The following is a 14,858-nucleotide window of genomic DNA, read 5'->3' on the forward strand; positions in this document are numbered from 1 at the left end:
AAATTAATCAAGATGGCAAGGCTGATTCCTTCCTCAAGGCTCTAAGGAAAATTCCATTTCTTTGCCCTTTCCAGCCTCTAGAGGCCACCCATATTCCTTGGCTTGTGGCTGCTTCCTCCATCTTCAAAGCCAGCAACAGTGAGTCCAGTTCTTCTCACATTGGGTCACTCTAACCTTCTCTTCTTCCTCACTCTTCTTCTTTTAAGGATCCTTGTGGCTACATTGGCCCCACCTAGATGATACATGATAATTTCAGTATTTTAGGTCTGCTGATTTAAAACCTTAATACCGTATGCAACCTTAATTTCCTTTTGCTATGTAGTATAATATATTCACAGGTTCCAGGGATTAGACGATGGACATCCATGGCAGGGAGTTTGGGGGATTATTTTTTCCTTCCAGGGGTCGACAAGGCCCTCATCTTTCCTTTTCCAGAAAGCTACATCTCTGTGAGTGGCCAATCCTAATCACCAGAACTTCAAGAACTGTGAAGAGTCTGAGATATTACCCTACTTGCAAGATAAAAACCCAGCACAGTATCATGGATGCTGGCAAAAAATACAAGACTCCTCAGTAAGAGATAAAGGACTTTATAATACTTGTGGTAGCCGGAGTGTTAGCAGTTGTGCTGCTTCTCTAAGCCTCAGTTTCCACAAGGCAATGCAGAGGGCTAGATGATACCTGCACATACAGTGGGTTCCATTATATGAGAGAAAGCCTAAGTTTATGGACTCCAGATCTTTTATAATGGGCAATAAATCTGCCTCTCCTTTGTCCTGAAGGGAGAAATTACGTTTAGTATAATTTCTAGTATAACCTGCCCTTTGTTCTGGAGGGAGACTCTGTCTTCCAGGGCTGCTTGCTGTATTAACAGGCTTGAAAAGATAAGTTGGAAAAAAGGCAGTCAGTGAGTCTGCTTTCAAGATGTGCAGAGACCTGTGGAGAGCCATCTCCCAACAGCCTCTCAAGTCCCTTTTAATCTATGGCAAATCTCCCAGATTCTCCTCTCTCTTGTTTTTCTCCTTGCTATTTATTTGTTGAAGAAACTGGGCCATTTGCCCTGTGCTATGTCCCACATTTTGGAATTTGCTAATTGTATTCTTGTGGTGTTATTTAACGTGTTCCTGTATCTTTATATTAATATGAACTGATGAATCTAGAGGCTTGATCAATTCAGATTTAATTTTTTTGGGCAAGAATACTTCATAGGTGGTGTTGAACACACTTGCTAATTCATCCCTCCAGGAGGCACATAATACCAAATATGTCTGTGTGTTCAGGGGTTCTCAGCCTGGTCCATACATTATAAAATTTCTGCAGTCTTTCACTCAGTAGTTTCAGCAGCCATTGATGATCAGTGCTTTCTTTTGAGACAGGGTCTTACTCTGTCATCCAGGCTGGAGTGCAGTGATGCATCACAGCTCATTGCAGCCTCGACCTCCCAAGCTCAGGTTATTCTCCCACCTCAGCCTCCCAAGTAGCTGGGACTACAGGTGTGCACTACCATGCCTGGTTAATTTTTTGTATTTTTTGTACAGATGGGTTTTTGCCATGTTGCCCAGGCTGGTCTCAAATGCCTGGGCTGAAGCGATCTACCCACCTTGGCCTCCCAAAGTGCTGGAATTACAGGCATGAGTCACTGCACCTGGCCTCGTGATCATTGCTTTTATTAGCATTTCTCAGCTGGAATTCTTCTGTAAAGAATAAATTTCCAAAATCAATTATTTGTGTACCCTGAAATGAAGTACTTGTGGGTGGGATAATAATTTTAATATAAAACTCAGTAATACCTCTTTCTTGATATATAAAACACTTCATTGGCAAACTGTTACTTAAAAGAATTCATGCTATTTCCATGATCAGACTCCAGCATACTTACCTGAATGTTTTTCTCATAATCACCTCCCTAATTGTCTTACTTCCATTTTCTGTTGCTTATAACAGAATACCTGAAACTGGGTAATTTATAAAGAAAAGGAATTTATTTCTTACAGTTATGGAGGCTGAGAAGTCCTAGGTCAAGGGACCACATCTGGTGAGGGCCTTCTCATTGGTGGGGACTCTGCAGGGTCCTGAGGTGGTGCAGGGTATCACATGGCTAGGGGATTGAGTGTGCTAGCTCAGTCTCTCTTCCTCTTCTTAGAAAGCCACAAGTTCCATTCCTGTGATAACCCCTTAATCTATGAATGGACTAATCCATTTTGGAGGGTGTGGAGTCCTAATTAGGGAAAAGGAGTTGGGCTAGTGGGACTGAAGGAAACAAAAAGATAAAGCAGATAAGCTACAAGTCTGCCTTTCTTCATGGTCCAGGACACATAGCCCTCCTGCACAAATAACTCGCAATCTTCCTGCTCCCAACTATTACCAGGCCTTCAGCTGATGTTATCAGTACTGCACAAAGCCCTCTTCAGCATACATCATAAACACCATTCTATAAAATCCCCAGCAAGCCTTTCTTTCCTTGCAGTTAGCTCCTCTCTTGCTGGTCTGCCCATTGCACCCTTGCAACATATTTTCCTACTTTCTCTAACAAATCTGCCTTTCTTCACCTACAACTGTCTTGGTAAATTCTTCTTACCCCTGTGCCACCGGCCCCAGATAGTCGCTGCCTACCTATGACAGAGGGGACAGATATTCAAACCATAGGACTGACATATAAATAGTATTCTCTCTTTTTTACAGAGCTGTTTGCTCTTTACTTAATTCACCATGTATTTTCCTGTTTCCACACTATTTTCCTTGTCTCTTCTGGAAAGTATTTCCCCCACTTATCTTTTCAATTAATTTTTTTCCCCAAGAGCCAATTTAAACTGCACCAACTTTATGGAACCTAAACTTACATCCCCAGTAGAATTGACTGTTTTCTATTTGGGGCCCACGGTGTACCCTGAATATATTTCAATATATTTATTTTATTTTATTTTATTTTTAGAGTCAGGGTCTCACTCTGTCACTCAGGCTTGGAATGCAGTGGTGCATCCATAGATCACTGTAACCTCAAACTCCTGGGCTCAAACGATCCTCCCTCCTCAGCCTTCCAGGCAACTGGGACTACAGGCTTATATCACCATGCCTGGCTAATTTTTAATTTTTTTTTAGAGGTGGGGTCTCACTGTGTTGCCCAGCCTAGTCTCAAGCTTCTGGCCTCAAGCGATCCTCCCAAAGTGCTGGGATTATAGGCATGAATATGTTTCTAACATGCCCTTTTGTTTTTTGTGGTTTTTGAAATTGAGTCATATTTGAAATATACTGAATTGCCCAGATCTTAAATGTATAGTTTGATGAGTTTTGACAAGTATATGTGTGTGTATATATATATGTACATATATATACACACCCATATACACACATATATGTACATATATATACACATCCATGCAAATTAAAATATAGAAAGTTCCCTCTTGACCAGTCAGTATTCTCCCCTTGAGGCAACAACCATTGTTAAGGTTTTAAATCCCTGTAGATTAAAATTCTTGATTGTCCTGTCTTTGTAATGGAATCAAACCATCTGTGTCTGACTTCAGTGTTTGGCTTCTGTTTGTAAAATAGCATAATGCTTCTGAGATTCTTCCAGGTTGTTGTGTCTATCCGTGGATTTTTCCTTTTTTGTTGCTGAGTATTCCATTGTATGAAGACACCACAATTTGTGTAGACATTCATGTGTTGATGAACATTTAGAATGTGTCTAGTTTCTGATTATCATGAATCAAGCCTGCTATGGGCATTCTTATATAAGTTTTCTGAGGATGTATGTTTTAATTTCTTTTTAGTAACTACTAAGAAATGGAATTGCTAAATTATATGGTAGGTATATGTTTAACTTTATTAGAAATTGTCAAACAAGGTCTGGCACAGTGGCTCAGGCCTGTAATCCCAATACTTTGGGAGGCTGAGGTGGGCGGATCACTTGAGGCCAGGTGTTCAAAACCAGCCTCGCCAACATGGCAAAACTCTGTCTCTACTAAAAATACAAAAATTAGCCGGGTGTGGTGGCACACGCCTGTAATCCCAGCTACTAGGGAGGCTGAGGCATGAGAATCCCTTGAATCCAGGAGGCAGAGGTTGCAGTGAGCCAAGATCACACCACTGCCTCCAGCCAGGGTGACAGAGCAAGACTCTGTCTCAAAAACAAAAACAAAAACAAAAAAAGAAATTGTCAAACAAGTTTCCAAAGTGATGGCTTGGTTTTACATTCCTACCAGCAATTTTTGAGTTTCTTTTTAATTTTAGCTTTTCTAGTGAGTGTCTATGCTTTCTCAATATAGCTTAAATTGCACTTCCCTTACAACTAATGATGGTGAACATCTTTTCATGTGCTTTATTGGCCATTTGTATATCTTTTTTGTGTCTGCTCAAGTATTTTGCTCATTAAAAAAAATTGGGCTGTGTGTCTTTTTCTTACTACTTTCTAGGAGTTCTTTCTACATTCTTAATATGGGTGTTTTGTATATGTATTGTAAATATTTTCTCCCAGTCTGTGGCTTCACTTTTCATTTTCTCAATAGCGTCTTTTGATGAGCAGAAGTTTTAATTTTGATAAGGTCCAGTTTTTGAAGATTTTCTTTTATGGCTGGGGCTTTTTCTACTATGTCAAGAAATCCATGCTTACGTCAAGGTTGCAAAGATAACCTCTTACATTTCCTTCTAGGGCATTTTTAGTTTCAGCTTTTATGTTTAGGTCTATAATCTAGCTCAAGTTAATTTTTTGTTAACTTTTTCTATGATTTGTTTTCTATTTCTGTTCTTTAGTAATTCCTTTCTTTTACTTCTGTTAGGTTTATTTGGTCCTTCATTTTCTATTAGCTAATGGCTCCTTGAGGGTAAATTTGAGGACACTGATTTAGACTTTTGTAATATAAGTGTTTAAAGCTATAAATTTCCTTGTAAATTTGTCTTTTATCTGCTTTTCACAAATTTTGATACACTGTAGTAAGCAGCCTTCTAAAATGGCTCTCAGTGATCCCCACTACTCAGTATTCACACCCTTGTGTAATCCACTTCCCTTTATGTGTGGGCTGGACCTAGTGACTTGCTTCTAATAAATAGAATATGGCAAAAGTGATGGGATGGCCCTTCTGAGGTTAGGTTATAAGAGATTGTGGCTGGGCGTGGTGGCTCATGCCTGTAATCCCAGCACTTTGGGAGGCCGAGGCAGGTGGATCATGAGGTCAGGAGTTCAACATCAGCCTGGCCAAGATGGTGAAACCCTGTCTCTACTAAAAATACAAAAATTAGCCAGGCGTGGTGGTGGGCACCTGTAATCCCAGCTGCTCGGGAGGCTGAGGCAGAGAATTGCCTGAACCAGGGAGGCGGAGGTTGCAGTGAGCTGAGATCGCGCCACTGCACTCCAGCCTGGGCGACAGAGCGAGACGTCATCTAAAAAAAAAAAAAAAAAAAAAAAAAAGGAGATTGTAAGATAGCTTGCTGGCATACTCTCTCTGGCTCTTCTCGCTTGCTCTGATGAAGGAAGGTGCCATGTTGTGAGCTGCCCTCATCTATTACCTCACAGTTTCTGTAGGTCAGGAATCCAGGTGTGGCTTACATGGGTCCTCTCACTCAGGGTCTCTCACAAGGCTGCAGTCCATGTTGGCTGGGGCTGCATTCATCTTGAAGGGAAGGATCCACTTCCAAGCTTACTCAAGTGATTGTTGGTAAGATTCAGTTTCTTGCAGGCTGTTGTGCTGAGTGATTCAGTTGTTTTAACTTACTAAGTTTTAGAGTGATTTGCTATGCATCAAATAGATAAGTAACACAGATTTTGGTACTGGGAATGGGGCAGCCTGAAAATGTGGGAGTGTCCTTCAAACTGAGAAGTTGGTGGAGGCTGGAAAAGATTTTAAGGAGAATGTTAGAGAAATCCTAAATTTCAGAGAGATCTATGGGTGTACAGCTTTTGTCTAATGGTGTGAACCCAGTGAGATTCACAGAAAATAAAATTTTAGAGCAAACTATATTAGCAGAAATACTACCACTTTGGACTGAAAGGGATATAAACAATAAAAAATGGAAAAACATGTTGGCCCCCCAAAATTCTTTGGCAGGAAGCAGGTTGAGCAAACTCTTTTGTTGCCTTTCATGAAAAAGGAAGGATACCTCAGATGGTGGTGCCAAGGACCCAGAGTGTGGAACCAAAAGCCATGAAGAATTATTCCTAGGCCTCGAGACCTAATCAAAGAACTCCTAACATTTAACCAGTCAGATAATACTTTACTTTCTTCAGCATTTTAAAAGTACCATCCAACTGTGTTTTAGCCTCCACTTCTTCTGTTGAGCAGTAAGTGGTCACTTGAATCACCATTTCTCTGTATGTAATATTTGGGGGGATTTTTTGTTTGTTTTTGGCTTTTCTGGCTGCTTTTAAAATCTTGTCTTCTTTGGTTCTCAATAGTTTGACTATGATGCTCCTAGGAATGGTTTTATGTGGGTTATTCTGTTTGGAATTTGCAAAACTTATTGAATCTATAAGTGTATGTCTTTCACCAAATTTGAGGAGTTTCTGCACATTATTTTTAAAAATACCTTTTCTGCCCTTCTCTCCTTCTGGGTCTTAAATTGCATGTATGTTAGATCTTTTGATTTTTGTCTTACTCATCTGTTTTAGTTTGTTTGTCCTACTGTAACAACATTCCTGAGATTTGGTATCTTATAAACAATAGAAATTTATTTCTCACAATTCTGGAGGCTGAGAAGTCCAAGATAAAGGCACCAGCAGCTTAGGTGTCCAGTGAGGGCTGCTCTCTGCTTCCAAGATGGCGCCTTGTTGCTGTGTCCTCCAGAGGGGGTGAATTCTGTGTCCTCACGTGGTGGAAAGTGTGGAAGGTCAAAAAGGAAGGATGTAGCTAGTTCCCTCCAGCCCTTTTAAAAGAACACTAACCCATTCATGAGCCCTCATGACCTAAATAACTTCCAAAGGTCATACCTCTTAATACTGTTACATTGGGATTAAATTTCAACATGAATTTTGGAGGGACAACAAACATTGAAACCATAGCATCATCCCTGAGACTCCGTTTGTTTTTATTTTCAATTTTGTTCTCTCTGCTTTTCAGATTGGATAATTTCTGTTGGTCTATGTTTAAGTTAATTACCTCTTTCTTCAGTTACCTCTATTCTTCTGTCAAGCCCATCCAGTGAACTTTTTAGTTTCAGATTGTATTTTTCAGTTTTTTAAAATAGTTTATATTTCTTAGTTGGCCTATCCTATTTAATCATTCATTATGAACATATTTGTATGTTTTTGAGCATAATTATAACTAACTGATTTAAAGTGCTTTTCTGCTAATTCTAGCATCTGGATCACCTCAGGTCAGTCTCTGAGTGCATTTTCTCTTGAGCCTCTTCCCTTTCTCTCCACACCTTTCTGTCTCTTTCTCTGTTGAGTTGTTTTGGATTGTATCTTTGTTGTGAAACATACATTAGAGATGCTTGATTCTGTTTAATTCCTCTGACTATTGTTGATTTTTTTGTTTTGCTTTGTGTAGGGAGCACTTAACTTGGCTAGACTCAAACTAGGAAATGTTTTCTCTGTGGTATGTGGTAGCTCAAATTCCAGTTCATTCAGCTGGTCAATCAGAGATCTGGGCAGAGTTCATTCACAGAATTTAGGCACCCTTCTCTCTTTCAATGCCTTTCTGGATTCCCCCTTGATTTTCCAATGGTAGTGATGACTGCAGAACTCCCCTTCAATTCTTCAAGTCAATAACACTGGTGGTTTTCTTTTCTTTTCTCTCTCTCTCTTTTTTTTTTTTTTTTGAGACAGGGTCTCACTCTGTCACCCAGGCTGGAGTGCAGTGGCACAATCATAGCTCACTGAGCCTTGACCTCTCAGGTTTAATCAGTCTTCCCGCCTCAGCCTCCCAAGTAGCCGGGACCACAGGCATGTACCACTTCTCTTGGAATTTTAGTTACCCCACGTGGCACTGACTGGGCCTATTCACAAGCTAAAGTGCCAGCCTCTCTTCTAAGTGTCAGCTCTCCTCCCATAGATGCCTGACTTGGGTTGCTCCTTAGTATCTTTAGATAGTTTTTAAAATATTTTTTGTTCAGAGTTTATAGTTGTTATGTGTATGAAGGTTGGTCTGATAAAAGCAATGCAGTCATACTGAAACTTAATTTTTGTTAATTTTTGTATATGGTGTGAGGCGTGGGTCAAGGTTTATGCTTTTTTCCTAATACTGATATCTATCTCTTCCAACACAATTTGTTGAAAAGACTTCACTTTCGCCCATTGAATCACATTGGCACTTTTGTCAAAAAACAATTGTCCGTACATGTGTGGGTCTGTTTCTGGACTTTATTCTGTTCTAATGATATATCTGTCTGTGCATACATCATCCCATACTGCCTGTATTACTGTAGCTTTACAGTAAATCTTAACATTAGGGGGTATAAATCCTTCATACTTTTTCTTGCTTTTGGCTATTCTGGGTCCTTCGCATAGCCATATAAACTTTAACATTTGTCAGTTTTTACCAAAATCTTGACAAATAAGTGATTAAACAAGTAGAAAACAAATCAGTGATGCAACAGGAAATTTCAACAACACTCAACCAACTTGATTTATACATTACAGAACAATACAGCCATCAATAGCCAAATATATATTCTTTTCAGGGAGACATGGACCATTATCCTAGATAGACCATATGTTGAAATCATACAGAGTATACTTTCTGACCATGACGGAATTAAATTAGAAATGAGCAATAACAGGGCATCAAGAGAAAGAGGCCATATTTTTGAAGAGTAAATGAAAGCAACAGGAGAGGGAGCTATGTGAAATTTTTAAAAATTGGGATGGAAGGGATATATGTGCTTCCTTCTACAAGTTATAGGGCACAAATTTCTCATAAAAATGAGCAACAAAATAGGATCAAGGTCAAATCCTTACTAAAAATTATAATTTTTAATAAATGGAAGAGTAAATGTCATACATAATAAATAGCAGAAATTTATGATTAGATTTTTATATTCTACACAATATTACATATGTGTATATATATAAACTAAGTATTTAATGGGCATACCATATCGTATATTATGATGAAAAAGTATCAAAAAGAGCTTCCTATCTGTTTTCTCTCCATCCTCCAGTGCTGATCATGTTGCCTTGAACAAGATTGTGTTGTTACAGGTATCAGTGTCATTTGAGGATGTGACTGTGGACTTCAGTAGAGAGGAGTGGCAGCAACTGGACTCTACTCAAAGACGCCTGTACCAGGATGTAATGTTGGAGAACTACAGCCACCTGCTCTCAGTGGGTAAGGACAACCATCCTGTGAAGTTGTGAGGAGCCTGTTATGGGTTAAATTGTGCCCCCAAATAAAATATGTTGAAGTCCTAATACCCCAGCCCCCCAGAATGTGACCTTATTTGGAAATAGAGTCTTTACAGAAGTAATCAAGCTAAAATGAGATCATTAGGGTGGGCTTTAATCTAATATAATTGGTGTCCTTATAAAAAGGAGAAAACTGGACACAGACACATATACACATACGCACGCACACACACACACAAACACACACACAGAGGGAAGACAATATGAAGATACACAGGGAGAAGATGGAATGTGACTAGAATGATACATCTGTAAGCCAAGAAACACTTGAGGCCACCAGAAGCTAAGAGAGGCCTGGAACAGTTCCTTCCCTAGCACCTTCAAAGAGAGTATGGCCCTGCTAACACCTTGGTTTTGGAGTTCTGGCCTCCAGAACTGTGAGACAATAAATTTCTCTTGTTTTGAGCCCCCTAGTTTGTGGTACTTTGTTATAACAGCCCTAGGAAACTAATACAGAGTTTTACACTTGGAAATGGGGTGTGGCTGTGATAAATACCTTAAAAATGTGAAGTGGCTTTGGAATTGGGTAACGGGTAGAGGCTGGAGCTAGGGGCTAGGTTTTGATATGCTTGACAGAAAAAGCCTAGATTGCGTTAACGAGACTATTGGTAGAAACATGAATGTTAAAGGTACTTTTAGTGAGATCTCAGATAGAAATAAGGAACATATTATTGCAAACTGGAAGAAAAGCGATCCTTGTTATAAAGTACCGGAGAACATGGCTGAATTGCGTTCTGTTGGGTGAAAAGTAGAACTTGTATGTGATGAACCTGAATATTTAGCTGAGGAGATTTCCAAGCAGTGTTGAAAGCACAGCCTGGTTTCTCTGTGCTGCTTATGTAAAATGTGAGAAGAAAGAGATAAATTGAAGAAAGAATTGTTAGGAAAAAGGTACCAGAACTTGAAGATGTGGAAAATTTTCAGCCTATCCATATGGCAAAAATTCAGAAAGTGTACTCTGGAAAGAACACCAAGGGTGTGTCTGGACAACCGATTACTAAAGAGATTAGGTGTGTGACTTGTGGATCCAATCAACTGTCTCACTAGAAATGCTTCCAGGTTGGACTGAAGGGGACAGAGACAGGAGAAAATGAAGGAAGGCTGTTGGACTTCTGGGATTCTATAAGCAGGAAATGTGATGATAAAGCTATTTCGACTGTGAACATGTGTCATCCTTCAAGAAAAGGGAAGAATGACTTTGAGGATAGTTCAGAAGCTAGTAGGGCTGCAGCTGCCACCACAGGCCCTGAAGGCACAGGCTGGGGAGATGGGGGGACCCATTGCCTCCTTAGTTTCAGAGAACAGGGCCATCTGTTTTCAGGGCTGAGGGGGCAGGGCCAAGGTTGCAGGGTTATCATGTCTGATCTGAGGTTACACCATGTATTAGTTACACCATGTATTAGTCCGTTTGTTCTCACATTGCTATAAAGAAATGCCTGAGACTGGGTAATTTATAAAGAAAAGAGGTTTAATTCGCTCACGGTTCTGCAGGCTGTAAAGGAAGCATAGTGGCTCCTGCTTCTGAGGAAGCCTCAGGAAGCTTCCAATCATGGCGGAAGGCAAAGGGGAAGCAAGCATATTACATGGTGGGAGCAAGAGCAAGAGTGAGGGGGAGATGCTGCATACCTTTAAACAACCAGATCTCACGAGAACTCACTCACTTTCATGAGAACAGCACCAAGGGGATGGTGCTAAACCATTCCTGAGAAATCCGCCACCATGATCCAGTCACCTCCCACCAGGCCCCATCTCCAACACTGGGGATTACAATTTGACATGAGATTTATAGGGGACAAAGATCCAAACCATATCAGGTGATGAAGACCAAATATATATATCTTTTTAACTTTCCCTTATGGTTCTTGTTGACTATCAATTTTGTGCACGTATTTAGCCTTAGTAGATGGAGTTTACTACCCACTTTGGGGTACATTCTCAAGCAACATGGCCCCAATAATGCCCAGGCCCAGTGCACCAGAGCCTGCTGCTGGCCTTATACCATCATCAGGCTGGGCCTCAATCAGAAGGACTTGGGTGCTATAAGCAGCAGTGGGGAGTGGGTCTTCTCTATGCCACATTTCCAACACCCCCACTGTGGGGCAGAGGTTTAGCACTGGGCTCTTCCATGTTCACTTGCTGTTACTGAGGGAATCCTTGTTAAGTTTCTTCTCCACTAACTAGTGTGCTTAAATTCAGTGGGTGAGTAAATTCTGGCCCAATAGCAAGCCAAAAATTATTTCTCAAAAAGAGAGTAGTTATCCACTACTACAGGATGGCAGGACTTTGCTCCCAAATCCTAAAGATCTGCACTGTGATTCACCTATAGGGGATTGCCAAAGGCTCCAAACAGCATCCCTGTCTGCCATTGTCACTTCAAGCACCATTGGATCTGCTGGATCATATGGTCCAAGCAGCAGAGCAGCTTGCACAGCAGCCTGGATCTGTTGTAGAGTCTTCTCTTGTTCTGGTCCCCACTGAAAACTAGCTACTTTTTGGATAACTTGATAAATGGGCCAGAGTAGCTTTACCCAAATCAGGAATGTGTTACCTCCAAAATCCAAAGAGGCCCAGTAAGCATTGTGCCTTTTCTCTTTTTCTTATAGGAGGGGCCAGATACAACAATTTTTGCTTCACCTTAGAAGGGATATCTCGACATGCTCTATACCACTGGACCCCTAGAAATTTCCCTGAGGTGTAAGGCCCTTAAATTTTTTTTCAGATTTATTTCCCACTCTCTGATATGTAAATATCTTACCCATAAGTCTAGCGTAGTTGCTGCTTCTTGCTCACTAGGTCCAATCAGCATTATCTCATTAGTGTCATGGACCAGTGTGATATCTTGTGGAAGGGAAAGGTGATCAAGATGCCTGCAGACTAAATAATGACATAGGTCTGGAGAGTTGATATACCTCTGAGGTAGGACAGTACAGGTGTATAGCTGGCCTTCCCAGCCAAAAACAAACTGCTTCTAGTGGTCTTTACTAACAAGTATCACAAAAAAACATTTGCCAGATCAATAGCTGCATAGGGTACCAGGGAATGTGTTAATTTGCTCAAGCAATGAAACCACATCTTGAAGAGCAAGTGTAATTAGAGTCACCACTTGGTGACGTTTACAGTAATCTGTCACTCTTCAAAATCCATCTATTTTCTGCACAGGCCAAATAGGCAAGGTGAATGGGGATGTGGTGGGAATCACCATCCCTGCATCCCTCATATCCCTGATGGTAGCACTGATTTCCGCAATCCCTCCAGGAATGTGGTATTGCTTTTGGTTTACTATTTTCCTAGGCAGAGGCAGCTCTAGTGGCTTCACTTGGCCTTTCCCACCATAAGAGCCCTCATTCCACAGGTCAGGGAACTAATATGGGGATTCTGCCAGTTGCTGAATATGTCCTTCCAATTATGTATTCAGGAACTGGGGAAATAACCACAGGACAGGTTCAGGGACCCACTGGATGCACTGTGAGATGGACCTCAACTAAAACTCCATTAACCACTACACTTTGTAAGCTCCTACGCTGACTGGTGGACCATAGTGGTGTTTGGGTCTCCTGGAATTAGTGGCAGTTCAGAGCCAGTGTCCAGTAATTCCCAAAATGTCTGATTATTCTTTTTTCCCAATACATAGTTATCTTGATAAAAGGCCATAGGTCCCTTTGGGGAACACTGGGAGAAAGATTTCATAGTATAAGTTTTTGACAGTGTACCAGGGTCCTTCCCTAAGGGAACCTGGCTTCCCCTTCATTCAAGGGGTTCTGGGTCTGAGTCTGTAAATAGGCTCAAGTCTGGGAATTGATTGAAGGGCTGTGACTTTGTGCTTTTATGATTCGAGTTAGAGTTTTGTTCACTTGACCTAGAATTCCTCTACTTATACAGATCAACTTATTATTGTGTAGACTGCCTATCTGTTTCTTTTCTCAGGACACCATGATCAACTAGCCAGTGCCATAGGTCTCTGTGAATCAGACTATTCTGATTGTTGCTTTGACTCTGCTGTCCATTGTGGTAGCCATGTTCACCTTGCATTTGGCGATTAAGTACCTCCCTTTAACCCCTGCCACCCCAGGATCCAACTACCCCCATTGCACTTAGGTTTCCCTACTCAGTGGCTGCAGTTCCCACTGTAAGTTCCAGCCTACAGACAAGAGCACTTGGACATCTTCAAGGATGCTCGGGCTCCCCTTAAAAATTTGTTTCTCACATTGGTGACAGGTGTGTCCTCTGGACCCTCCCAGAGTAGATGAACAGGTATCACAAGATAAATCCCCTCCAACAGTACAATTCTTTGGATACCTTCCTCTGCAGAGTACCCAGGCAGTTCTGGCATTTCAACTTCATTTAGTGTAGGCCACCTTTTGGTCCATGTTTAGCCAACCAGCCAACCAAACTGTTAGAGCCCTTTCTAACCCCTCCAGCAGCAATATCAAATTCAGAATCTCTGCTTAGTGGGCCCATACCAATCAATTCAGCCTGATCCAACTTTTTGTTTCTTCCACCTTTATCATACACCCTTGATATCCATATCAATGTATAGTCTTTAGATTTGTCTGCATAAATTAAATGAATCGTGCCGTTCTTTTGGTGTACACACATCCTCATGGGTCATTCTTTGTACTTCACCTTTTGGGACCTGCTTTGACTTAAGTCCAGTTATATGTCTAAAAGCAAAGAAGGGTGGTGAGCATAGGCTCTTAAGGGAATTGGCAGTGCCTGTCAAGGCAAGTACCTCAGGGGAAGCCACTGAAAGTGCTTCAGGCAAAGTAGGGTTAACCTTCTCAGATAGGGTAGAAGGGCTGCCTCTACTGGCAAAGGAGACTCAAGAATTTAAAGGTTCAATGTCTAGTCTATTTCCAATTAGTTTTTTTTTCTTTTTTAGTCTCAGATGGTTGCTTTTAGGGTTCCCTCAGTCTCTTGAGAGCCCCTGATGGGAGGAGGGGTCCCAAAGTTCAAGTGACTGTAGGGAGTTAAGAGACTGAAGTAGGAAGGGAAAGGTCTGGCAGGAATGGATAGAGGGGTGGAAGAGGTAGGAGTTTGAAGAGTGACCTATGCGAGGATTCAAGAGAGCTTAAAGGGAAGATCAAAGGTGGTAAAAGGAAGAAGGAGGAGCAGAAGCAATGGGAAGGGAGAGGTTTTGGAGGAGACAGTTGGGGGAGATGTAAAGTTTCCCAAGGAAACCCCTGAAGTTCCAAATTATCCTTAGTAAAATCATGCCAACAAGACAGGAAACAGGTAGAGTTGGTGGAGCATATAGCCAGCAGGGGTTCAAAAATGGATATTTTGGTAGACTGAGAAGTTCCCATGTTTTTTAACTAATAGTACTTTTATGGTTATAAATAGAGAAACTTGGGACTCTGACCCAGCTTCTGTTCCTTACAGAACCCAGCCTCTTACAAAAAGAGAAACCTAGGAGACTAACCCAGCCTTTCCTTGCATGAGACTCTAACTTACTTTCTTATAAACAGCTGCTTACCTGGAACTTTAACCTACCTTCTAGCATGAGAATCACTTGAACCCA

General features: G+C 41.1%; 1 protein-coding gene across 6 annotated transcripts in view, besides 1 other annotated feature; it reads left to right on the top strand.

Moving 5' to 3' along the window:
* Positions 1-14,858, top strand: part of ZNF81 (zinc finger protein 81) — an 88,726-nt gene that overhangs the window by 41,961 nt on the left and 31,907 nt on the right. For 5 of the 6 annotated variants that reach the window (NM_001378154.1, NM_007137.5, NM_001378152.1 and 2 more), the window contains one exon: positions 9,137-9,263. In NM_001378154.1, coding sequence (NP_001365083.1) covers positions 9,137-9,263 — 127 coding nt within the window. Of the gene's footprint in view, positions 1-9,136; positions 9,354-14,858 lie in introns of those variants that run through there. The other variant, NR_165431.1, reaches the window with a different exon arrangement.
* Positions 1,924-2,464: a transcriptional cis regulatory region, noted in NCBI's record as "genic|chrX:47740185-47740725 region (GRCh37/hg19 assembly coordinates) targeted for CRISPR interference". NCBI's record gives its function as "negatively regulates HDAC6 gene expression in K562 cells {active_cell/tissue: K562}" and the evidence as "EXISTENCE:mutant phenotype evidence [ECO:0000015][PMID:31784727]".

This window comes from Homo sapiens, chromosome X (genome assembly GCF_000001405.40).
Source record: "Homo sapiens chromosome X, GRCh38.p14 Primary Assembly".
NCBI lineage: Eukaryota > Metazoa > Chordata > Mammalia > Primates > Hominidae > Homo > Homo sapiens.